At 47.0% G+C, this 25,957-nt stretch overlaps 1 protein-coding gene across 1 annotated transcript in view, besides 3 other annotated features; it reads left to right on the top strand.

Annotated features, from left to right (window-relative positions):
* LRRK1 (leucine rich repeat kinase 1) overlaps positions 1-25,957 on the top strand; it is a 158,901-nt gene that overhangs the window by 94,557 nt on the left and 38,387 nt on the right. The window contains exons 11-20 of the mRNA NM_024652.6: positions 403-515; positions 1,413-1,489; positions 7,140-7,269; positions 7,932-8,044; positions 8,470-8,684; positions 10,890-11,054; positions 12,052-12,224; positions 13,348-13,468; positions 13,725-13,884; positions 15,043-15,319. Of these exons, the coding sequence (NP_078928.3) occupies positions 403-515; positions 1,413-1,489; positions 7,140-7,269; positions 7,932-8,044; positions 8,470-8,684; positions 10,890-11,054; positions 12,052-12,224; positions 13,348-13,468; positions 13,725-13,884; positions 15,043-15,319 (1,544 nt within the window). The remainder of the gene's footprint in view (positions 1-402; positions 516-1,412; positions 1,490-7,139; positions 7,270-7,931; positions 8,045-8,469; positions 8,685-10,889; positions 11,055-12,051; positions 12,225-13,347; positions 13,469-13,724; positions 13,885-15,042; positions 15,320-25,957) is intronic.
* Positions 1,371-1,665: a silencer, noted in NCBI's record as "tiled region #13394; HepG2 Repressive non-DNase unmatched - State 20:ReprD". NCBI's record gives its function as "represses a minimal TATA promoter and a strong SV40 promoter by Sharpr-MPRA in HepG2 cells {active_cell/tissue: HepG2}" and the evidence as "EXISTENCE:reporter gene assay evidence [ECO:0000049][PMID:27701403]".
* Positions 13,195-14,394: an enhancer, noted in NCBI's record as "CDK7 strongly-dependent group 2 enhancer chr15:101567313-101568512 (GRCh37/hg19 assembly coordinates)". NCBI's record gives its function as "activates an origin of replication core promoter dependent on BRD2, BRD4, P300/CBP, MED14 and CDK7 cofactors, with strong dependence on CDK7, by STARR-seq in HCT116 cells {active_cell/tissue: HCT116}" and the evidence as "EXISTENCE:reporter gene assay evidence [ECO:0000049][PMID:35650434]".
* Positions 14,839-15,391: an enhancer, noted in NCBI's record as "H3K4me1 hESC enhancer chr15:101568957-101569509 (GRCh37/hg19 assembly coordinates)". NCBI's record gives its function as "activates a minimal SCP1, AML or CMV promoter by ChIP-STARR-seq in primed H9 embryonic stem cells {active_cell/tissue: H9 hESC(primed)}" and the evidence as "EXISTENCE:reporter gene assay evidence [ECO:0000049][PMID:30033119]".

Here is a 25,957-nt window from a genome sequence, read left to right on the forward strand (position 1 = left end):
AGCACTGTACTGCATGCCCCATGCCACCCCCACCAGCCGTGAGCCGTTGTCCTCCAAACCATCAGAGTCTGGCACTTTCCCCAGAGAGACACACCGGTAATCAGTACTCTTAAGAATCCTTAATGCTGACAGCTGCTTGGGCTCCTTTCACTCTAGAATAATTGCCTCTCACTGCCTTTGAGGGAGGAGCTCCTGTAGATAGATGGCCCCGTCGCACTGTTTGATATCATTTCGTGAGTTTGAAGAGGCTGCTGGGCCCCACACAGCTGGGATCTGCGTGAAGGAAAATTGGTTGGAATCGTTTGACTGCGCGTGGTTGGGAACTGACTGGCTCTTCAGTCTCCCCTCCCTTCTTGTATCTGATGCTATCTTAGCTTCTCTCTCCCTCCCTCTCTCTCTCAGGCCCTCATGTTCTTGAGGTTACAGGGGAACCAGCTGGCGGCACTTCCACCTCAAGAGAAGTGGACCTGCAGGCAGCTCAAAACCCTGGATCTCTCCAGAAACCAACTTGGCAAGTAAGCAGGGGCCTCTCCTCCCTGGCCAGTTCCAAAGCGTGTGTGGGGCCACGGTCGAGCAGGTCCTCTGAATGGTGGCATGTGAGTCTGCGAGGGCTGCTGAGCCGCCAGCTGGGGGCTTAACAACAGAAATCACTGCCTCACAGCCCTGGGGGCTGAAGTCCGAGGTGAGGGTGTGGGCAGGCCTGGTTGGTTTCTCCTGAGGCCCCTCTCCTTAGCTTGCAGATGCCGTCTTCTCCCTGTGTCCTGTTGCGGTCAGGCCTCTGTTCACGTCTGTGACCTAATCTCCTCTTCTTATAAGGACACCAGTCGGATTGGATTAGAGTCCATCCTAATGACCTCATTTTAACTTAGTTACCTCCTTAACAGCCCTGTTTCCAAATACAGTCACATTCTGAGGAATTGGAGGTTAGGGCTTCGACACAGGAATGTGGGGGGAAACAGCCCCTAATGGTGTCCTCTCATTTTTAATTTTTAGTCTGCTGGAGAATCTTGTCTCTCACTTCAGCCCAATCTGTAATTCTGTTCAAAAGTCTCTGCTGATCACTAACTGAAATGGACGTGGAATTGAATAAAAGCACCCAGCCCCAAAGCCTTCCAATAGGTGGAAAGCCGGGATGAGCCCAGCCAGCCTCTGGAGACCAGCCGCCCCCGTTATCTGCAGAAGGCCACTTCTGCAGTATCACGGTGGAACTTGCACCCCAAGGAGGACCTCTGCGGGGAGGGGTGGGGGCAGTGAAAAAGGCAGCCGCCACTGCAGCGTGCGCCCCTGCCAGGCCCTGAAGAGTTGCACATGAATTGCTCCCTATCTCCGTGGCTTGGCATTATAACATCACAGCCAAAAGTAATGCTTTTGTCGTGCTGTCCTCAAATTTTGTCTCTTTTTCCTCCCCCCAGAAATGAAGATGGACTGAAAACGAAGCGTATTGCCTTTTTCACCACCAGAGGTCGCCAGCGCTCCGGGACTGAGGCAGGTGTGTGTGGGTTGGGAGACGGTGTTCCCAGATGAGACAGCCGGGGTAGCCTGGTTCCTGCTCCACCAAAGTGGGGATCGCCCTTATCTTGGGCCTTCCCCTTCAATGCCCTGTTGCAATGCCACAGATGTCCAAGTTCAAATGAAAACCCTGCATATGAGCTGCGCCCATTCTTTCTGTCCCACGTGTGACACGCAAGTATCCTCAAGCCCCACTCTCCTGCGTGGAGGCCAGTGATGCCAGCAGCTAATATGTGCAGCTGATCTACACACCAGGCAGTGCCCTAGGCAGGTTACATATGTGAGAGTTTCTCATCCTCACAACGTGAGGTATGGGCCACATTTCCCCATTTTGCACGTGGGGAGACTGAGGCTCCCAGGGTGTCTGAGCTTGGCTGCCACACCAAAATACCACCGACCGAGTGCTTCAGCAGCAGACACTTATTTTCTCACAGTTCTGGAAGCTGGATATCTGAGAGGAGGGTGCCAGCACTGTCAGGGGCTTGCGAGGGCCTTCTTCCTGGCATCCTTCTCTCTATGTCCTGAGATAGTGAAGAGAGAGAGGACTCTGGTCTTTCTTCCTCTTCTTTTTTTTTTTTTTTCTTTGAGACTGAGTCTCGCTCTGTCGCCCAGGCTGGAGTGCAGTGGCGCGATCTTGGCTCCCTGCAACCTCCGCCTCCCAGGTTCAAGCTATTCTCCTTCTTCAGCCTCCCAAGTAGCTGGGATTACAGGCATGTGCCACCATGCCTGGCTAATTTTTGTATTTTTGGAGATGAGCCACTGTGCCCGGCCCCTCTTCCTATAAGAACGTTAATCTCATAAGGGCCCCACCCTCATGACCTCATCCAAACCTAATTACAGCTCAAATATCCCATCTCCAAATAGTAATTTTGTATTTTAATACAATACAGGATGCCAGGAAGAAGGCCCTTGCTAGCCCCTGACAGTGCTGGCGCCCTCCTCTCAGATATCCAGGGTTTCACCATGTTGGCCAGGCTGGTCTTGAACTCCTGACCTCAAGTGATCCGCCTGCCTCAGCCTCCCAAAGTGCTGGGATTACAGGTGTGAGCCACCACGCCCGGCCCCTCTTCTTATAAGAATGTTAATCTCATCATAAGGGCCCCACCCTCATGACCTCATCTAAACCTAATTACAGCTCAAATATCCCATCTCCAAATGGTGTCACATTGGGTATTAGAGCTTCGACATATGAATTTGGTGGGGGGCGGGGGACACAGTTCAATCCATGGCATAGGGACTGACTGATTTGTCCCAGGTTGTGTGGCTGCTTCTCAGTAGCAGAGCCAGGTTTCATCCCAGGACTGTGGGACTTCAGCCCTGGACCAGCAGCTACGTGCTGTTAAGTCTCTACTGCCACACGATGGTATCTTGCAAAGCCCACATGGATCACGGCCGCCTTTGGACCCACAGGCTGAGGTGAGGCCAAGGTTGCACAGGGGCTCGTGGTCTTCCCCAAAACTCAACAGAGACAGAACTTTCCTAGTTTTTGTGCTGGTCACACAACAAGGCCAGTTCAGCAGAGAGTACATCTAGGTAAACAAGCTCTTTTTGTTCCATTATCTTCTGTGAGACACAGGGGAAGGTATGGAGCTGTCCCTTTCATTAAACAACCAGCTCTGCTTCTTAACCTCAAAGCTACAACTTCCAAAGCCAGCTCTGCTCACAGAAATATCCCTCAGGATGCTGGCCCAGAAAACCAGAACCCACATCCAGGTTGTTTTAAACATAATACAACTTTCTTCTTCAGTTTGATAGATGGTTGTTGGCAAGTACAGATAGTATGAGGTAGGGATGAGTGACGCCACAGAGGCCAGGACACATTTGCAGGAGGTGAACTAGGGAGTTTGCCGCTGCTACGCTCTTGGATGAACTGGTGTGCTTGTGTGTTGAGTATGATACACATAGAGATCTGTCCCATAAGAGCGTGTGTATTTATATGTGACTGAAAAAGGAATATCAGTGGACCAGATAAAAGAGTCCAAAAATAGACCTCAGTAAACATAGAAATACATCGGGAGTCCCCAGCGCCCCCCAGGAAGCGAACCGGTATTGGTCCCTGGCCTGCTAGGAACCAGGCCACACAGGAGGAGGTGAGCGGTGGGCCAGTGAGCATCAGCGCCACCTCCTGTCAGATCAGCGGCAGCATTGGATTCTCATAGGAGCGCGAACCCTATTGTGAACCGCGTCTGTGAGGGCTCTAGGTTGTGCCCTCCTTATGAGAATCTAACGCCTGATGATCTGAGGTGGAACAGTTTCATCCCTAAACTGTCCCCCTCACCAATGCTGCAGTCCATGGAAAAATTGTCTTCCACAAAACCGGTCCGTGGTGCCAAAAAGGTTGGGGACTGTTATTATGTAATATATGACAAAGGCAGAACTTCAACTTAGTGTAAAAGGATGCTTGCGTGCGTTAATAAACGGTGTTGATATTCCTGCCTGGAAGGGGGACAAAACACGATACTAGATTACAACAATCAGGTTTAAGTATAAAAAAAGAAAACAATAACATTTAAGGAATATAGGTATAACTTTGCTATGAGGGAGATCTTTAAAATCTAGTTGGAAAATCCAGGAATAATTTTTTAAAAAGACTGAAATCATTGGCTTCATAAACATTCAAAAATTGTGTTCAGTGGGAAGCATCATAAACCAAGTCATAATGCAAACAGACTAAGAAGAAATATTTGCAACACAAATTGTTGCAACACAAATTGGCTTAAGTCCCTGATATACAAAGAATGCTTACAAATTGATTTAAAAAAAAAAAAAAAAAAGACAACACAATAGGCAAAAAAAATGGGCAAGGGATATAAACAATTTTCAGAAAAGGAAGTCCAGAGGGCCAGGAAACAAATGAAAAGGTCCTTAACCACACGAATAGGGAAATGCAATTATGAATTTCATAACTGATCCTTTTATAAATGAAGAGCCTTAGGACTGTAGAAATTGAGTCCAGACATAGGGATTTCACTTAGAAGGAAGGGGAAACAAACACCATCTTCTCCTTCATGCCAGGCGGGATGATGGGTATGAGAACAGGAGCTAGTGTAGACCTCGGTCACGCAAGCCACTTGCTGTGTGGATTAGAAACGTGTCTCCAGTTTAGAAATGCCGAATCCTTCCTGGGACCACGGAGGAGTGTGCAAGGAAGTGGGCTCAGCACTCAATGAGACGCCAGTGGGGAAAATCACAGGCATGCATGGAAAAGCACCATAGGACTACGCGCGGTACCAATGCTCTAGAAAGTGACAGCTGGCAGCCCGCAGAAGTACATCTGGGGAGCCATGTGAGGGGGCCGCGCCCCTGGGAGGTTCTCTGGCAGAGGTGAATCTTGGCCTTGGCAGATGACAAAGGCCTCTTGATTCTTTAAACTTCATCTAGAAAGTTGAGGCCCACACCTGAGTGAAAAGAAGGCGGCTCTTTGCAAACCCTTTTCCTCAGTAGGGTTATTCTCCCAGGGCCATGGACCCTTGGGTAAGGAATTATCTACAAAAGACAGCTTGTTTGCAGTAGGATAGTAAAATTCCAAGTAGATTTATGTACATCCAAATAGTCATATTTGTGCAGTGGCCTCATCCAAAAATAATTTGGATGGCCGTTTTTACGGTAAAAATCAGACCAGCAGAGTCATAAATAACTTATGAATAAATAATTACAGTTCTTAAATACCTTGAACTGTGTTCTCCCCAGCTCAGTGCCCATCGTTTTCAACACTGGGCCAGGAGGTCTGTTACAGGTGTTGCCTCTGTTTGCAATCATAGCTCATTATTCCAGCCATCTCTTACTTAAAGAGGCTTCATAAACACCGTAGCGAAACTTTAAAAGTTTGGAAAGCACAGAGGCCAGGTGTTTAGAATGTGTTCTCTGGGGAGAAAGTAAGCCTTTCTCATTATGACGTTCTTTCATGAAAATGTGAATTAGGGCAGGCTAATATTGATCATCTTTTTTCATTGAAGGAAAAAAAAGGAAGCTTTTTGAACATTTCCTTACCTAGCAAGGACTCATACAAAGCCATCTTTAGAAGGCCGGTGCACCTTTATTTCCGCAGGAGCCCCTGCAGTGAGTCCCATTCACAGTACAGCTAGCTGGGCAGATTTTCCAGGCATTGGTTTTGGTATTCCATTATCGGCTCTCCCTGAATGTTCTCAGAGGCCAGGTTACCCATTACCATTGTTATTGCAGCTACATGTGTGGAGGAAAGCCAGAGCCGAGGCGGGGTAGCTATGATCAAGGGCAACCGAGCCTGGTTTCAGCCCAACAAAAGAACTCCGGCTTCTCTATTTTCCATGTCTGGCAGGGAACCCTATGAGAGGGCTTTGAGGCAGTTGTTTAATCTTGAATTCTCCGAGCTCCCAGGCATGCTGTCCTGCCCCCTCTCCAGGCCTTAGTAGGGAGGATAAAGGCACTTCAGAGATTCTGCTGAAATCCAAACCTCTGATTCCCATCAGTGTGCGTTTCCAAGCTCTTTCTCAACTCAAATGCTCTGGTGCCCGTGGAAACAGCAAATTTGACATGATTTTCATGGTAATCTCATAGTGAGCCTAATTAATAAAGTCACTTAAATACTAAACAGTTGGCTGGCTTTTCAAAGAATGGCATTGTAAGAAGCATAAAAACAGCCAACTGTGGTATATTTTCATTAACTAGCTTTTTTTCATGGAAAAAGCAACGCATGTATATTTTAAAACACCGTTTTTGAACAGTAGCAAAGGGCATGGGATAAATATTCAGTCCTCTAGTAATTCCTTTCCCCAGAGACAACTATGGAGTTCAGTGCATCTCTGGTAACCATTGTGTTCCTGTCTAACAACTGTAACCTCTGTGCATACACATGTGCAGGTGTGGTGTGTGTGCATATAACATATACATGGTATGCGTGTGTGTGCATGCATGTGTGCACACATTTTCTGCTACACTAATAAGCCTTCTAGATATCCGGTTCTGAACTTTTTTTTTTTTTTTTTTTTTTTGAGATGGAGTCTTGCTCTGTCACCCAGGCTGGAGTGCAGTGGCACAAACTCAACTCACTGCAACCTCCACCTCCCAGGTTCAAGTAATTCTCCTGCCTCAGCCCCCCCGAGTAGCTGGGATTACAGGTGCCCACCATCACGCCTGGCTAATTTTTGTATCTTTAGTAGAGACAGGGTTTTACCATCTTAGCCAGCCTGGTCTTGAACTCCTGACCTTGTGATCCCCCTACCTCGGCCTCCCAAAGTGCTAGGATTACAGGCGTGAGCCACCAGCCTGGCGCACCTTGCCTTTTCAATTGATGGGTAGCTCTTGAGTATTACTTCATACCCCCATATATGTAGACCTGCCCCATACTTTGTAATAGCTGCAATTATTCTATTACTCATTGAACCAACCCCCTGTGGCTGGACACATAGGTTGTTGTAGATTGTCCTCTATCTCTGCCACTGAGTGTCCTCATTCTCACATCTTTGCCACACATGCATGCAAAGCTATCTGTAGAATGAGAATTGCTAGGTCGATGAGGTGAGCATTTTGTTCTGATAGGCTTGCCAAAATGCCCTCTGGAGGTTGCATCAGTTTATACGCCCACCTGGTCACCACGCTGTGACGGTCCAGAATTATTTTTAAATGCAGTCTGCTTTGCCATGTCTTTGCAGCAAGTGTGCTGGAATTTCCGGCCTTCCTAAGTGAGTCTTTGGAAGTCCTTTGCCTGAACGACAACCACCTCGACACAGTCCCTCCCTCGGTTTGCCTACTGAAGAGCTTATCAGAGCTCTACTTGGGAAAGTAAGTACACATCTGGAGGGGCCGTGCTGGCTCTGCTGGCCCAGAGAGGCAGAACGCCCATCCCTAAACCAACTGGGACACAGAAAGCCAGGCAGAAAGAAGCCATCTACTTTCCAAGAAGCAGTAGTGAGATTTTCGGAACAGGGCTTGATCAAGGAGGTGGGGAGAGAGGAAGACGGAGTAGCAATGCAATGATACACACTTTCACTACATCACTTGGGCTGTGATGAGGAGAACCACTCAATCATTCATCCTTTCATTACTGAGCTCCCATTGCATGCCAGCTACTGCCAGGGGTTCTAGGCAGTGTGCAAAGCTTGATGAGAGTGTAAAATGTTATATTAATATTAAAGGGACATCGCCTTCTCGGGAAGAGGTAGTGATCATCTTTATGGGGATGTACTTAGTAGCAGAGACAGGAAAGTTGGGGGAGGGGACTCAATTCTAAGCCGTGGGGATTTGCAGAAGACAGAGCTGCCGTTTCTATCACTGATCCTCCAGGAGAAAGCCTTTGGAATTAGTGTTGAAATCAGGGCTCAAAGTGTGGGGTCTGGGGTACAGGCTGCAGAGGCTGACAGGAGCCACGTGTGTGCGTGTGTGTGTGTGTGTGTGTGTGTGTGTGTGTGTGTGTATTCTCTCGTGGTGGACACATCTGTCTTCAGCAACCCTGGCCTCCGGGAGCTCCCTCCTGAGCTGGGGCAGCTGGGCAACCTCTGGCAGCTGGACACTGAAGACCTGACCATCAGCAATGTGCCTGCAGAAATCCAAAAAGAAGGTAGGGCTTCCGCAGCCCTGTCCCCTGCCATCACCTCTTGGAAAGACAACTCCAGTCCACTTGTTAAGTTCTGGGGGTGGAGACAGTTGGTGACCCATGGAGCCCAGCTCCAGGTTCCAGATTTGACAAGATGCTATAAAATTGTCCCTAAAGCAATCGTTACTGAGGGTCACTATACTGAGAAGGACCAGGTGATACAACTGTGACCTCCTGGGCAGCAAGGATTTTGTCCATAGGTTCTTGCCTCTTAGAGTTCGCTTTTAGGGTGGTTAGTGTCATGCCTTCCCTCCCCCTGATCCAGTAGTCTTCCTTAACTGTCCCCACTAAAACACAAAGAAGGAGTTCCTTCACAACAGGATTTTGTGTCCTAAGAGATGTGAGCATGTGCCCACGCAGCTACCCTTCCCCTTAATGATTTTGCACAGGCCCCAAAGCAATGCTGTCTTACCTGCGTGCTCAGCTGCGGAAAGCGGAAAAGTGCAAGCTGATGAAGATGATCATCGTGGGTCCCCCGCGCCAGGGCAAGTCCACCCTCCTGGAGATCTTACAGACGGGGAGGGCCCCCCAGGTGGTGCATGGAGAGGCCACCATCAGGACCACCAAGTGGGAGCTCCAGAGGCCGGCTGGCTCGAGAGCCAAGGTCAAGGATGGTCTGCGTGCAGAGTCCCTGTGGGTGGGAGGAACATCCCTTGGACTCCTTCTCCCTTCTCCCCAGAGAGCCCAGGATTTTCTCAGCCTGGTGTCCAAAGCTCAGGCCCTTTGCAGGAGCCACTGTGTACCATTCCATACCAGCTTCTGCCAAGAGCAGCGAATCATTTCTTAATGTGACTTTGTGATGTTTTCTTTTTCTTTACTTTTCTTTTTTTTTTTTCTTGAGACAGGGTTTCACTGTGTCTCTCAGGCTGGATGCATCCTCAACCTCCCCAGCTTAAATGATCCACCTGCCCTGTATGTTTCTGTTATAGTTACTTGAGGCTCTGGGACAGTGGTTCTTAACCCCGGCTGTCTGTTAGATTCCCTTGAGGGGCTTTTAAAGATAGCAATTCCCAGGCCTCACCTCACTGCTCTCTGACCCCAAGGATTCAAGTTCAAGTGGTCTGGGATAAGGCACCCCCAGGGCTGAGAGCTAACCACTGTTGCAGGCAGTGAAACACACCAGCATCTGCCCCCTGATGAGGAGGCTAAAAGCACTCTGGGACTTAACACCCTGCCGTCCCTGACACCTGCTTTCACCCCAGGTTCTGAAAAGTCCTGTTTCTAAGCCCTACTTAAAATGAATCCATCACTGCTTGAACCCGGGAGGTGGAGGTTGCAGTGAGCCGAGATCATGCCACTGCACTCCAGCCTGGCGACAGAGCAAGACTCCATTCAAAAAAAATTTTTTGAGTCCATCCATAAACTTCTTAATCATCTTGCTTTCCATTCAGTGCCAGGCAAATGGAAATGAACATTTTCCTGTTCATGTAACAGAGAAAAGAGCCATGGACTGTTGGTGGGAACTCCATCCCTGGAATAGAGCAGGGGCAGTTAGCCCTTTCTCTGAGCTCGGGGAACGAACACACATAGATAAGGCCATCCTCATCAACTGTATTTGGATTTCTGCCACCCTGTGATTCCTCGGGATCCAAGGGGCAAGAGGCTGCTTCACTGTGGAAAACTGAGGAGGCTTGAGATCCAGATGGTCCATGATTTTCCCCCAAAGCTCCCACGCACAGTGCCAACCAAACACTGCAGCTTCTTCCACACACAACCACTTTCCAAACCTGCTTTGAAAAAGTAGGCATTGAAGCTGTGCATCTGTTCTAACACGAACTTGGAAGCTGGTCCTCCAAGGGGTGAAGCGCTGCCTGTTGGGGCCAGAACAATCAAACACGACAATCAACGCTAGGCCAATCCTAGAACATTCCAGGAGCAAATCTAGCTGACTCGAGTCTGAAGGTTCTCTCCAGGAACCAGAATCCTCTGCATTCTCTCCAGCTTTGCCTTTTTCTTAACAGTTATGCAATCTCATTTCTTCTCTTAGCTTCCTCTAGCTGAGGCCTGAGGGGTGAATTCGTGCTTCTATTTTTCCTGACCTTCACCCCCACTTCCTTTCTGCGATGATTAAAACCCCCTACCCTTTAGTGGAAGGACAATCCTGTGAAGGCTGAGCCCGCCGCTCTCTCTGTGGCCGGCCTCAGCCAGTTGAGAACAGCTGTTTTCATCTTTATACAAAACCAGGTCAGCACACTGTGTCTTGGAGGCTGATGCTGCCTCACAGAGATGACTCCTTTCTGTAGAAAACTGCAGCCTTAGCATCCAGGGCCAGACTCTTACCTCATGCAATGATAGAGAAACCACCGTTTACACAGCCGTTCCCGGCAGCCCAACAGCTCATCTTTTGTTTGATTCCCACAGGGTGGGAGGGAGTTTCCCAGCATCCTTGGTGGGCGCCACCCTCTGAGCCCCACAAGTTCAGAGGCCCATCTCCTCCTCTTGCCCTGGCACACAGGGAGGCTGAACCCCAGTGCAAGCCGTGACATCAGAGCACAGCTTCCTCCCACAGGGCATCCCCTACCCATCTGCAGCCCAGACAGAGCCAGGCCCTCTGAAGTCTGTCCAGGGCCTGGTCTCTGCTCTGCTAGGAGTAGACAGAAGTCCCAGAAGCCCACCCCCATGCCACCGGGCCCCTGTCCCTCGCCCAGATAACTGTTTCCTAAGAAACAATAGAGTGTCCAGAACTTTTCCACGGTTGTTTTTTCAGACCCCCGAGTCCAGCCTCCAGAGTTATCCGTTGTCTCCGTTTGATTGACTGAAGCCTTTGTCTCTAAAATGCCTCCCTGTCGCTGCCTTGTTGCTCAAGTAGGTTGAGTCCGTGGAGTTCAACGTCTGGGACATCGGGGGACCGGCCAGCATGGCCACTGTCAACCAGTGCTTCTTCACGGACAAGGCCCTGTACGTGGTGGTCTGGAACCTGGCGCTGGGGGAGGAGGCCGTGGCCAACCTCCAGTTCTGGCTGCTCAACATCGAGGTGAGGACACCAGACGCCAGCCCTGCCATTTCAGTGCCCAGAGCTTTGCAGGTCCCACCGCTTCCCTCAAGCATCCCCTGTACTGAGAAAAAAAGGGGGTTATGTTGCCACAGAGGGCCCCAGAACCGTGGTCCTGCTTGCTTTTCACAGTGAGGCACTTGAAACCTTCCTCTGCTGAGGGCTGGTGATGTAATTTCCCCGCTTCCCTTAAATTTAGGAACCCCCACCCTTGGATCCAAAAGCAGAGCAGGGTTCCCTTCCTGTTATAAAGATGTCCTTGTCTCCCTGCCTCTGATGGCTGCTGTCATGTCTGAAGGGTCAGAAATCCCTCCCCACAAGTCCAACTCAGCACCCTCCGTGGAGGAGGTCACAGAACACCATAGACACCCCTCAATGCAACAGTCCCTCAGGTTCACGGAGAATGAGGAGCACAGGTGCTGCCTGGGCTGACATCCTGTAGCGCAGTCTGTTTTGCATTACTAGAAAGGAATGAGACTGGGTAATTTATGAAGAAAAGAGGTTCATTTGGCTCACAATTCCGCAGACTATACAAGCATGGCTTCAGCATCTGTTGGCTTTTGGTTAGGCCTCAGGAAGCTTTTAGTCATGGCAGAAGGGAAGGGGAGCCAGCATGTCACATAGTGAGAGAGGGAGCAGGAGAGACAGGAAGAGGAGCCAGCCTCCTTTCCACAATCAGCTCCTCTGTGAACTGACATAGGGTGAACGCACCCATTACTGCAGGAAGGTGCCAAGCCATTCATGAGGGATCTGGCCCCATGACCCAACCTCCCGTCAGGCCTCACCTCCAACACTGGGGATCACATTTCAACATAAGATTTGGAGGAGGCAAACATCCAAACCGTCTCAAGGCTGCAGATTGGTGGCTGAGCAAGGGCCGTGGCATCCAGGGTCAGCGCACCTGCACAGCTGGGAGCTCTGTCCTGTCCCTTGTTCCATGAACAGAGACAGTACTCAGCCGTGGGGTTCTCTGTTGCAGGCCAAGGCCCCAAACGCCGTGGTGCTGGTGGTCGGGACGCACCTGGATTTAATTGAAGCCAAGTTCCGTGTGGAAAGGATTGCAACGCTGCGTGCCTATGTGCTGGCACTCTGCCGCTCCCCCTCCGGCTCCAGGGCCACAGGCTTCCCAGACATCACCTTCAAACACTTACAGTGAGTGCCCAGCCTCGGGCAGCTCCTGCCTTCTTGTGGGTGCCAGTCGCTGATCTTTCCTGGGATCAGCTTGCAGAGAGCTCCTGAGTCTGGGTGGGGCTAGGCCCCTTTCCTGGCCAAGGGTGGCCATCCACAGAGCTGACCCAGCCTTGGGGAGGGTGAAGACCTACCAGACGGCTGGCTGGTTGAGGCCTGGAGGTGCCCCTCTTTGCTTCCTTTCTGCCCCATCCCCGCCCCAAGGGCCAGTGCTGAAAATGCATGGTGCCTATTGAACCAGGAGACTGAACGTGGGCACCACCCAACCAATTGCTGCCCATCTCATTTGTTGATCACTGATCAAGGACAGACCCTGGGGAGGGAGGGCCAGTCCTTCCATTGGGTCTGAGTGGTCCTGATAGCAGCCTTTGAGTCACAGAGGGCCAAGAGTTTGGAGGGGCTTTCAGTTAGGCATCACGACGTGTCCATACAGATAAGTCCAATTGCCCTGGGCTGACTGCCTGTCACTGGACTTTCACAACAGCCCTGCAGGTTGTGGGGATTGTTTGCCACTTTGTAGGTGAAGAAGATGAGGTTCAGCAAATTAAGTGTGCCCTAATGGGAGTAAAATACACTGCATATTGCATTATCTGCACTGATGGCTCTCAGATTCCCTCGCCCGGGGCAGAGCGCCACGGGTATTGGTGCATGGGTCAGCCTGGGACACATTGGCCTGGCTCGGAATACAGGATGAGGCTGTCAGGAATTCCTGCTTTGCCCTTGAGAAAGTCCCATGGGGTCTGTGATAAGAGGAGTCCTGGCTCTGGGTCAGAACCCAAGTCCAGCCTGTGTGAGCCTGTGCCTGCCCAGCCTGTACCCTTGGGGGTCTCGGTGTACCTCTGCACCTCACTTTCCTCCTCCGTGAAGTGCCATGTTTAGTCTGGGAAGACAGACTAAAGCGACACAGTGTGGGGCACCCAGCACAGTGATTTGCACAAAGCAAGGCCTCAATAAACTTCTTGTGTTGTCTTTCACGAGTTCTCCAGACTTGCCAGCGTTCAGGACAAACCTCTCAGGGAAACAGAGAAGCAGCAGCGCTTCCTCGGAGTGGGGCATGATGAGTAAAGACGGGTCTTTTTGCTCACAGTGAGATTTCCTGCAAGAGCCTGGAAGGTCAGGAAGGGCTGCGACAGCTGATTTTCCACGTCACGTGCAGCATGAAGGACGTGGGCAGCACCATCGGCTGCCAGCGACTGGCAGGGCGGCTGGTGGGTACCTTGCTGGTCCAGTTTAAACCAGTCTGCCTGCTTCCCATTGTTGGGGGTCCTCACTTCCCCCTCTCTCCTGTGAAGCCCATGTCTGTGTGGCAAGGCTCGGTGGTTCCTGGTGAGGGAGGGTCAGGATGGAAGATAGTGGGTGGAAACGTCCCACCCCCTCAGGCCACAGGGGCCGGGCAGGATCTGCCCAAGCTGGCAGGTGTGCCTTGGGACCTGAGAGACCCTGCCTCGCCCAACTGTCCCCCAGATCCCCAGGAGCTACCTGAGCCTGCAGGAGGCCGTGCTGGCAGAGCAGCAGCGCCGCAGCCGGGACGACGACGTGCAGTACCTGACGGACAGGCAGCTGGAGCAGCTGGTGGAGCAGACGCCCGACAACGACATCAAGGACTACGAGGACCTGCAGTCAGGTGGGTGGGGCTGGGGTAGGTGGCAGGGTGCCCGTGAGAAATGGAACTGTCTGTACTTGCTAACTTCAGCTTGGCCTCAGTAATGAATGAGAGACCGACACCCAGCCTGCGTTTCTGCCTTCCATCCCCCTCCCCTTCCTTCTTCCCTCTCACCCTTCTTTCCTTGGAGGGAGAGAACACAAACAGCTACTCTACACCAGCATTGTGTTTGCCACGAGGACAGACATACAAGCTGATGGACTGGCGCCTGCCCTCCGGGGCTGATATTCAGTCAGGGAGACAGAGGTCAAACAGTTACAATCGATTCTCATTAGCCACAGGACTTAACGTTCTGTAAAGTCACCGCGATCACTGAAATAGCAAATACGGAACCAGTGCTCCTAGGAGAGACGCAGCGTTGGGCTCCTGCGAGCCTCTGGTCACCACATACTCACCAGCCCGTCAGTACAGAACCTTGTTTTATGTGTGTTGCTGCGTAAAGATGCCATACTTAATATATGTTGTTGATTTGTTGGCATTGAACTCACGGCTGACAGCACTATTGCTCATTCATGAACAAAGCTTATCTAACACACAGGTTTCCTCCATAAGGCACATCGCAGCCTTCTCACGCTTAGGGAACTACACAGCGTTTCAGCACTTCACTAGGGACCATTTTGAACAGTGAAAGCGTCAACAAAAAGCACAAAAATTCAAAAAACGTGGCACTGACATAGACCACTAAGCAGGCAGCTGTTTTCAGCATGAGAGCTGAGAGAGTTGTCCTGTTCAGCCTCCGCTGGCAACGTGCACATTGGTCAATGCAAATTTTTCACCACTCAGCACATGTCTGCAAATAACCGCAGGAGTGCTGATTTGGAGGTTGCAGATCAATCTTAGCAAGAAGGTGAATTTGCAAAGGCAAAATCCACAAATAATGAGGATCAAGTGTAGTTACCCAGGCGGCCATCAGCCTAGGACTTTGGCAAGAGTTACCAGGGGCCACCAGGGCACCTGTGATCAGGCTGCCAGCCCACCTGAAGGGTCCAGCATGTGGGACATGTTGGTTTCTTCTCAGGAATAATTTGTGACCTGGGTCCTCTTGGAAAGAGGGCCACCCCAGAGTCCCTTTCGCTCCTTTGTCTAACTGCTGCTTCCTCCTCTCCTTGCCTGGGGCAGCCATCAGCTTCCTCATAGAAACCGGCACCCTGCTCCATTTCCCGGACACCAGCCACGGCCTGAGGAACCTCTACTTCCTCGACCCTATTTGGCTCTCCGAATGTCTGCAGAGGATCTTTAATATTAAGGGCTCTCGGTCAGTGGCCAAGAATGGGGTGATCAGAGCAGAAGACCTCAGGATGCTGCTGGTGGGGACTGGCTTCACGCAGCAGACGGAAGAGCAGTACTTCCAGTTCCTGGCCAAGTTTGAGATCGCCCTGCCCGTCGCCAATGACAGGTGAGGACACAACTTAACACGCCAGGCTGTGCAGGTTGCTCCCCGAAAGAGGGAGTTGGGGTCTGGAGCCACTGGTGGCCTGAACAAGATTTCCAGGGATCAGTGCTGCCACTGCTGCCCCCTACGGACAGGCCAGCACCCGATGACCTGCCTGCCGGGCCTGGGTCAGCAGGACAGTGAGCACGGCTGGCCGCTCCCTCCTGTGCCACGGGCTTCTCTGTTCAGGGAGTTAAAAGAAATCCACTTATTGAAAAGGTGTAGGAAAACATGGAAGGATGTCATTAAAAATAATTTGTGGGAATTTCACTTTACAGGGGCTTGATTGCTTGATTATTTGGTAAATGAGAGTGAGTGGCCAGGTGAGGTGGCTCACACCTTTAATCCCAACTCTTTGGGAGGCCGAGGTGGCCAGATCAATTGAGGTCAGGAGTTCAAGTCCAGCTTGACCAACATGGTGAAACCCCGTTTCTACTAAAAATACAAAAATTAGCCGGGCATGGTGGTGCATGCCTGTAATCCCAGCTACTTGGGAGACTGAAGCAGGAGAATTGCTTGAACCCAGGAGGCAGAGGTTGCAGTGAACAGAGATCACAGCTCTGCACTCCAGCCTTGGCAACAGAGCGAGACTCCTTCTCAAAACAACAACAACAAAAAAAGAATGAGCGACTAGGATGTGCATACTAATTACACAGCCCAGTTCCAAATGCAGTCCAACATGATTAAATCATGAGAGCAACATCATCAGCTACTCCAGGGTGGATGGTCCGAGGGTCAAATAGAGGCATTCCATATAGTAGCTGATCATTGCCTCTTTCTGTGGACTTCTCCTGGATCTGTAACATACCCAGGTCTCCCCAGTCCTAAACTGCAAACAAAACAAATGAGCCTCTCCTCCTTTTCCTCCTTTTCTTGCTCCCCAGCACCTGCCGCTCCTCATGACTTTGTGCTGGTCGCCAGGTAGCCCTCTAGGTGCCCCCAGGTACCTCTCCTGTCCTCTGCTGACCCTGCCCCAAGTACTGACCCTCCCCTCTGGAGGGCCTTCTCCATGAGAGGACCTTGCCACCCTCCCTTCCAGCCCGCAGTGTCCTCAGCAGGCCCCTCCCCTGCACTTTGCCCAAGCCATCAATTCAGCTGCCTTGGTCCTCCATGCAGCTTTGGGGTCCTCCTTGGTCCGCCAAAGGAAGAATCCTCAGATTTTCAGCAGGGCCCAGCCTCCAGAGGCTCAGGCCTGAGCTTCCAAATTGCTCCCACCTGGAAGTCTGGCACGGTGACTGACACAGCATGTCTGAGACACCTGCCTTCTCTCCTCTGCTGTGTGGTCCCACCGATCACCTTCCCCCACGCCCCACCCACGGAACTGTGCTCAGGGAGTGGCACTCTAGGCTCCAAATTCCTCCCTGTACCCCTGACACCCACTCCTCACCCCACCTGGAATGACATGGCCCTGCCATCTCCCAGTGAAACAATTCTGTTGACAGCCCCTTTCCTCCTTGTGACACCCATACCTGCTTCTGTTTTTGTTTGTTTATTTACAAAGATTTTTTCCATCAGTTATCGGGGTACAGTTGGTATTTGGTTACGTAAGTTCTTTAGTGGTGATTTATGAGATTTCTGGCGCACCATCACCCGAACAGTATACACTGCACCCTATTTGTGTCTTTTATCCCTCGCCCACCTCCCACTCTCCCCCAAGTCCCCAAAGTCCATTGTGTCATTCTTACGCCTTTGCATCCTGACAGCTTAGCTCTCACATATCAGTGAGAACATACGATGTTGGGTTTCCCATTCCTGAGTTACTTCACTTAGAATAATAGTCTCCCGTCTCCTCCAGGTCACTGCAAATGCTGTTAATTCATCCCTTTTTATGGCTGAGTAGTGTTCCATCATAGGTAAAGTTTACTTACAGTGAAATGCCCGGATCGCTAGTGTTCAAAACAATGACTTTTGACAAATGCATACAACTGTGCAAGCAGCACCTGCCTCAAGACACAGAATGTTCCTGTCATACTGGAAGTTCCGCCAGACGCCCTTCCAGTCGCTTCCCATCCGTGTCAGCACCAGCACTCTGACTTCCAGCACCAGAGCCTACTGTTTCCTGTTCTTGAACTTCTCAACCGCACAGAGTCACGCAATATGGTCTCTAATTGGCTTCTCGCACTAAACATCATGCCTTTGAGATCCATCCATGCGGTTGTGTGTATCAGGAGTTTGTTCTTTCTGTTGCTGAGTAGTATTCCATTGTATGGCTTTACTGCAATTTGTTTATCCACTCAGCTCTTGATAGGCATTTGGATGGTTTCCAACTTTGGGCTATGATGAATAACACTGCTGTAAACAGTCTTAAGTCTTTTTGGAGACACATGTTTTCATTTCTCTTGGATCAAAACCAGGAGTGGAATTGCTGGATAATAGAGTGTAAGTTTAATTTTATAAGAAATCACCAGGCTGTCCCCCAAGAGACTGTATGCTCCTCCAAGAGACTGTACACTCCATTTCCTCCCCACTATTTTTTTTTTTTTTGAGATGGAGTCTCGCTCTGTCGCCCAGACTGGAGTGCAGTGGCACGATCTTGGCTCATTACAAGCTCTGCCTCCCGGGTTCTTGCCATTCTCCTGCCTCAGCCTCCAAAGTAGCTGGGACTACAGGCGCCCACCACCGCGCCTGGCTAATTTTTTGTATTTTTAGTAGAGACAGGGTTTCACCATGTTATCCAGGATGGTCTCGATCTCCTGACCTCGTGATCCGCCTGCCTTGGCCTCCCAAAGTGCTGGGATTACAGGGGTGAGCCACTGCGCCGGCCTCCTCCCCAATATTTGTTGTCTGTAGGTCTTTCTGATTTTAGCTATTCCAGTGGATGTGAGCTTGTACTTGACTGTGGCTTTACTTTACATTTTCTTCATGACTAATGAGGTCTAGCACCTTTCGTGAGCTTATTGGCCGTTGGTATATCTTCTTCTGTGAAGTGTCTATTCAAGTTTTATGCCTATTTTATGATTAGAATGTTTTCCTTTTTGGTACTGATATGTACTTCTTTATATCTTCTGGATACAAGTTCTTTTTTTTTTATTCTTTAAGTTCTAGGGTACATGTGCACAACGTGCAGGTTTGTTACATATGTACACATGTGCCATATTGTGCTGCACCCATTAACTCGTCATTTAACATGAGGTGTATCTCCTAATGCTATCCCTCCCCCCTCCCCCTACCCGATACAAGTTCTTTCTCAGATATATGATTTGCAAATATTTTCTCCCAGTCTGTGACTTCCTTTTTTTATATTAATGAAGTCTAACTTTTAAATTGTGTGATTATTGCTTTTTATGTCATCTTTAAGAAATATTTGCTTATACCACAATCTTGACAATCTTTCTTTATTTTTCTTCTAGAAGGTTTGTAGTTTAGCTTTTACTTCCAGGTCTATAATCTATGTCAAATTAATTTTTGTATATGGGGTGAAGTAGGGGTCGAGGTCCATTTTTTTCCTGTATATTATCCCATTGTTCCAGAACCATTTGTTGGAAAGACTTTCCTTTCCCCATGGAATTATCTTGGTTTCTTTATCAAAAATCAGTGATGTGGGTTTATTTCAGGACTCTATTTTGTTCCACTAATATATATGCCTATCCTTATGCCAGTGCCAAACCCCACTGATTATTGTAGCTTTAGAGTAAGACTTGAAATCAGGTTGCGTGAGCGTTTTGTATTAGTTTCCTGTGATTGCTGTAAGATACCATGAATGTGGCATCTTAAAACAACACACATTTTTCTGGAGGCCAGAAGTCCAAAGTAAGTTTCCCTGGTCCAAAGTCAAGGGGTCAGCAGGATCATGCTGCCTCTGAAGGCTCTAGAAGAAAATCCATTTTCTTATCTTTTCCAGTCTCTAGAGCTGCATTTCTTAGCTCACATTTCTTTTATCAATACATAATATTTTACGTATTTATGGGGTACAGGTGAGTAGTTTTTACATGTGTAGAATGTGGAATGATCAAGTCAGGGTATTTGGGGTATCCATCACTTTGAGTATTTATCCTTTCTATGTGTTGGTATCATTTCAAGTCCTGGCTTCTAACCACTTTGAAATATACCATATATTCTTGCTAACTATCGTCACCCTAGTCTGCTATTAACCATTAGAACTTATTTCTTCTAACTGTATGTCTGTACCCATTCACCAACCTCTCTTCCTCCCACTCTCACACCCTTCCTAGCTTCTAGTATCTGTCATGCTATTTTCTATCTTCATAAGATCAAGTTTTTTAGCTCCCACATATGAGTGGGAGCATGCAGTATTTGTTTCTCTTTGCCTGGTTTATTTCATTTAATGTAATGACTTACAGTTTCATCCATGTTGCTGCAAATGACATGATTTCATTCTCTTTTACAGCCAAGTAGTATTCCATTGTGTATATGGACCTTTCTTTATCCATTTCTCCATTGATGGACACTTAGGTTGGTTCCTTATCTTTGCTATTTTGAATAGTGCTGCAATAGATAAGGGAATCCAGGTATCCCTTTAATACCTGGGTTCTTTTCCTTTGTATAAATACCCACTAGTGGGATTGCTGGATTGTATGGTAGTTCTATTTTTAGTTGTTTGAGAAATCGCCATACTATTTTCCACAGAGGCTGTACTAATTTACATTACAGCCAACAGCGTATAAGAGTTTTTCTTTTCTCTGCGTCCTCACCAGCATCTGTTATTTTTTGGTTTTCTGATAGTAGCTGTTCAACTGGGGTTATATGATATCTCATTGTGGTTTTGATTTGCATTTCCCTGATGATTCATGGTGTTGAGCATTTTTCATATACCTGTTGGCCATTCATATGTCTTCTTTTGAAAAATGTCTATTCATGTCCTTTGCCTTCTTTTGAGATTATTTGAGTTTTATTGAGTTGTTTGAATTTCTTGTAAATTGTGGATATTAGTTCCTTGTTGGATGAATACTTTGCAAATATTTTCTCTCATTCAACAGGTCTCTTCACTCTGCTAATTGTTTCCTATGCAGTGAAGAAGCCATTTAGTTTAATATAGTACTATTTGTCTATTTTTGTTTTAGTTGTTTGTGTTTTCGAGGTCTTAGCCATAAAACCTTTGCCTAGACCAATGTCCTGAAGTGCTTACCCTGTTTTCTTCTAGTAGTTTATAGTTTGGGGTCTTAAATTTAAGGCTTTAATCCATTTTGAGTTGATTTTTGTATGTGGTAAGAGATAGGGGGTCTAGTTCCATTCTTCTCCATATGGATATCCAATTTTCCCAGCACCATTTATTGAAGAGGGTGTATTTTCTCCACTGTAGGTTCTTAGCACCTTTGTTGAGAATCAGTTGACTGTAAATATGTGGATTTATTTCTGGGTTCTCTATTTTGTTCCATTAGTCTAGGTGTCTATTTTTATACTGATATCATGCTGTTTTGGTTACTATAGCTTTGTAGTATATTTTGAAGTCAGATAGTGTGATTCCTCCAGCTTTGTTCTTTTTGCTCAGGATTGCTTTAGCTATTCAATCTCTTGTTTGGTTCCATATGAATTTTAGAATCCATTATTGATCTGTTCAGGTTTACTTTTTATTCCTGATTAACTTTGGGTAAGGTTTTATATTTCTGGGAATTTGTCTGTTTTTTTTTCCTAGGCTTTGCAGTTTGTTAACATATAGTTCTTCATAGTAGTCTCTGATGATCTTTTGTATTTCGGTGGTATCAGTTGTAATGTCTCCTTTTTCATTACCAATTTTGGTTATTTGGGTCTTTTCTCTTCTTGGTTACTCTAGCTAGTGATTTATCAATTTTGTTTATCTTTTTGAAGAATCAACTTTTCATTTAATTGATCCTTTGTATTGTTTTTTAAGTCTGTATTCCATTTTATTTCTGCTCTGACCCTTATTTATTATGTGGTTTCTTTCCTTCTGCTGATTTTGGGTTTGGTTTGTAAATGTCTGTAAGGTCCTTTTGGTCTCAAGTCATTTAAATCCAATGTTTTTTTGATGAGTTTCTGTCTAGATGATCTGTCTAATGCTGAGAGTGGTATGTTTAAGTGCCATACTATTATAGTATTAGAATATATCTCTCTCTCTAGATCTAGTAATATTTGCTTTATGAATCTGGGTGCTCCAATGTTGGGTGCATATATATTGATATTGTTATATTCTCTTGTTGGATTGATCCCTTTATCATTTCTTCTTTGTCTTTTTACTGCTTTTGACTTAAAGTCTGTTTTGTCTGATACAAGTATAGCGATGTCTGCTTGCTTTTGGCTACTATTTGCATGGAATATCTTTTTGCAATGCTTTACTTTCAGTCTATGTGTGTCTTTACAGATAAAGTGAGTTTCTTATTGGTAGCATATAATTGAATCATGTTTTTTTAATCCATTCAGCCAGTGTACACCTTTTAAGTGGAGAATTTAATACACTTACATTCAAGGCAATTATTAATATGTGAGGTTTTGTTCCTGTCCTATTGTTAATTATTTTCTGGTTGTTTTTATATATTCTTTGTTCCTTTATTTCTCTCTTACTGCTTATCATTGTGGTTTGGTGGTTTTCTGTGGTGGTACCATTTGAGTCCTTTCTCTTCCTCATTTGAGTGTTTGCTTTACCAGTGATTTTTATACTTTTGTGTGTTTTCATGATGTTAAATGTCACTTTTCTTTTTGCTTCCAGGTTAAGGATCCCTTGAGCAGTTCTTATAGGGCCAGTCTATTAGTGACATAAGGTTTCTGCTGAGGAATCTGCTGTTAGTCTAATGGGGTCTCTTAGGTGACTAGATTCTTTTCTATTGCTGTATTTAGAATTCTCTCTTTGACTTTAGACAACTTGACTATAATGTGCCATGGAGAAGACCTTCTTGCATTATCTCTGTTTGGGGATCTCAGAGCCTCCTGTATCTGGATGTCTAAATACCTTGCTAGACGTAGGAAGTTTTCATCTCTTATTTTGTTAAATAGGTTTTCCTAACCCTTTCATTCTCTCTTCACCTTCTGGGACTCCAGTAATTTAAATACTTGGTTGCTTTATGGTGTCCCATATATCACTCATCGAGAAAATATTTACTCATTATTTTCTTCATTTTTCTTTATTTTTGTCTAACTCTGTTTTTTTCATAAGACTTGTCTTCAAGTTCTGAGATTATGATTCTGCTTGATCTAGCCTATTGTTGAAGCTTTTGAATGTATTTTATATTTCACTCAATGAATTCTTCAGTCCCAGAATTTCCATTTGGTTTTTTTTAAATGATATTAATATCTATCTCTTTGGTAAATTTATCATTTGTATCCTGAATTGTTTTTCTGATTTCTTTGTATTTTTTTTAGAATTTTCTTCTATCTCACTGAGCTCCTTTAGTATCAGAATTTTTAATTATTTTTCCAGGATTTTATAAATTTGTTCTTGATTAGGCTGTATGGCTGGAGAATTATTGTTTTCCTTTGGAAGTATCATATGTCCTTGCTTTTTCATGTTTCCTGTGTCCTTACATTGATATCTGTGCATCTGGTGTAACAGTCACTTCTTCCAGTATTTGAATTTGCCTTCACAGGGGAGAACTTTCTCCTGAAGAGGCATCTGTGGTGTTGGTTCAGTAGGGCACTTTGGCTTTCATTCTATGTAGATGCAGTAGTGTAATCTGTATTATTTCTTTGGCTATAAACAATGTCAGTGGCATCTGTGATTTCCTCAGTAATTTAGGGTGCAGTTGTTAGTGGAGCTTGTGGGGAAGTTTTGCTGGGAACAGGGATGCCAGGTGGGCCAGTCTTTGGGCCCCAGTGGTGGCAGCAGGCATGCCTCTCCTTGGACCCCAGGGTGGTATACACTGGCACCAGTGTTAGAGGGTCCAGACAGGCCTATTCTTGGGCTTCCAGGAGGCTTACTTGGATGTTGGTAGTGGCATCAGTGGGCCAGGTAGGTGGCTGGGTTCTCAGGTCCCTAGGCAGCTGGCATGGTGTGGGTAATGGCAGTGGAAGTGGCAGGAAAACCTTGTAGGTCCTGAGCAGTGCATGCTGGTATTGGCAGTGGCTGCAATGGGCTGGTTGGGCTTGTGCACAGGGCCACGGGTGACATGTGCAAGTAGGTACCAGCTGTAGTGGTAACAGCAGAGTCGGTAGGCCCAACCTTAGGCCCTCAGGAGAAGTGGTCAGGTACCACTGATGGTGGACTGAACCACTGAGCTGGGCAGTCCCTCAGCCCTAGTCCACATGCTCTGGCACAGGGGCCAGGGGACATGAAGCCAGGTCAGGTGGGCTTGTATTCAGGCCCCTCAATGGTGTGTACAGGTACCAGCCATGGTAGGCAGGAGTGAAGTGATCCCCAGGCCAGCAATGGAATGCTCAGGCTGGGGACATCAGTGGCCACACTGCTGCCCTGCCACTGGGGAGGGTGGGCCACCTTCAGTGGCAACAGATTAGGCTGGTGGGTGGGGAACATATGCCACTCACACCTTAGCCTTTAAGGTGGTAGCCTATGCCTCACTCACACCTCAGCCCCAGGGGTAGCAGCCCACATTTCTCTTGCACCTCAGCCCCAGCACCACTGGGCTCCCGGACAGTACACAGTCTGTTGGGGACAGGGCTGTAAAATGGCTCCTTGCAGATTTCTTAAAGAACTAAAAGTAGGTTACCATTTGATCCAGCAATCTCACTACTGGCTATCTACCCAGAGGAAAAGAAGTCATTATACAAAAAAGATACTTGCACACACATGTTTATAACAGCACAATTCCTAATTGCAAAAATATGGAACCATCCCAAATGTGCATCAATCAATAATTGGATTAAAAAAATTGTGGTATATATACACCATAGAATACTACTCAGCCATATAAAGGAATAAAATAATGGCATCTGCAGCAACCTGGATGAATTGGAGACCATTATTGTAAGTGAAGTAACTCAGGAATGGAAAACTAAACATCATATGTTCCAAATTATAATTGGGAGTTAAGCTATGAGAATGCAAAGGCATAAGAATAATACAATGGATTTTGGGGACTCAGGGGAAAGGGTGGGAGGGGATGAGAGATAAAAAACTACACATCAGGTACTGTGTACACTGCTCAGGTGATGGGAGTGCCAAAATCTCAGAAATCACCACTGAAGAACTTTATCACGTAACCAAACACCACCTGCTCCCCAAAGCCCTATTGAAATTAAAAATTAAAATATAAATAAATTGCCTCCTTAGTGTGGCTGCTCAGGTCTCAGAGAGTGTGAGACCTAGAGTGAGCACCCTCCGAGCAGTGCCATTGCACAATCTCCCATCAGTTAGTTTCAGGGCCCACAAAGGGTGAGGGGCTCTCCTGTGCCTTGGATTTCAGGAGTCCAGAGTGGGAATGTCGACCACTGGGGATCTCTCACTTACCTTTCCCCACACTGGGGAGTCTCTCTCAGCTCTCAGCCTAGCAGGCTGCCTTGCTTCCTTGTCCTTCCTTGCCTTAGGTATTTCCTGTCACTTTTCTGTTGAATTCCAGTGTTCCCTCTTGGATGATCTATTCAACGTGTGATTATCTACTCACTATTTTGCCTCTTCTCAGTGTCAGAGGCAAGTCTGAAATGCCTCTAGTCAGCCATCTTGAAGCCGTCCCTCCCAGCAGCATGGCACCCTGCGCCAGTGGCCATCTTGCCTTCTTCTGTGCAAATCTCTCTCTTCCCCCATCTTTTAAGCACACTTGTGGCTGCACTTAAGGTCCACCCAGATAATGTGGGATCTTTCCCCCATTTCAAAGTCCATAACTTAATCACATCTACAAAGTCTCTATTTCCATGTAAGGTAACAATCACAGTTCTAGGGTTTAGGACCTGGATATTTTGGGGCTCATTATTCAGCATATGACACCCTCCAATTTTGTTCTTCTGTTTCAAGATTATTTTGGATTATTCTAGATCCTTTGCATTTTCATCTAAATTTTAGAATCAGCTTGTCTGATTCTTAAAAAACCGTTGTGATTTTTATGGAGATTACATTGAATCTATAGATCAAAGAAAGCTGACATCTTAGAAATATTGAATCTTCCAATATGAACATGGTATATCTCTCATTTATTTTGGTTTTTAAAAAGTTTCTCTCCACGGTGGTTTGTTTTCAGTATTCAGATTTTCTGCATCTTTTGTTAAATTTGTGTCTACATAATTTATGTTCTCCGATATGGGTAAATGACATATCTTCTAATTTGATTTCCATTTCTTGTTGCTGGTATACAGAAATATAATTTATTTTTAAATATTTACCTTATATCAAAAAACCTTGCTAAATTCACCTATTAGCTCCAGTAGATTTTTCAGGATTTTCTAAGTATGCTTCTTTTTTGAAAAAAAGACAGTTTTACTTTTTTCATTCTAATCTTCACATATTTTTTTGCTCTGTTTGCCTGATTGCATTGGCTCGGATCTCTAGCGAAGGTTTAAATAGAAGGGATGAGAGAAGGCGTCATTCTGTGTGATCTCAGGGGGGAAGCATTCAGTCTTTCACCATCAAGTGTGATGTTTTCTGCAGAGCTTTGTTATCCATGGAAACTTTATCAGATTGAGGAAGTTCCCTTTTATTCCCAGTTTGCTAAAAGCTTTTATCATAAATGGGTACTGAATTTTGTCCCCCAAAAATGCTTGTTCTGCCTCTGTTAATTTTTTTCTTCAGTTATTTTTCTGTTAAAT

The sequence above is a fragment of the Homo sapiens genome, chromosome 15 (assembly GCF_000001405.40).
Source record: "Homo sapiens chromosome 15, GRCh38.p14 Primary Assembly".
Lineage (NCBI taxonomy): Eukaryota > Metazoa > Chordata > Mammalia > Primates > Hominidae > Homo > Homo sapiens.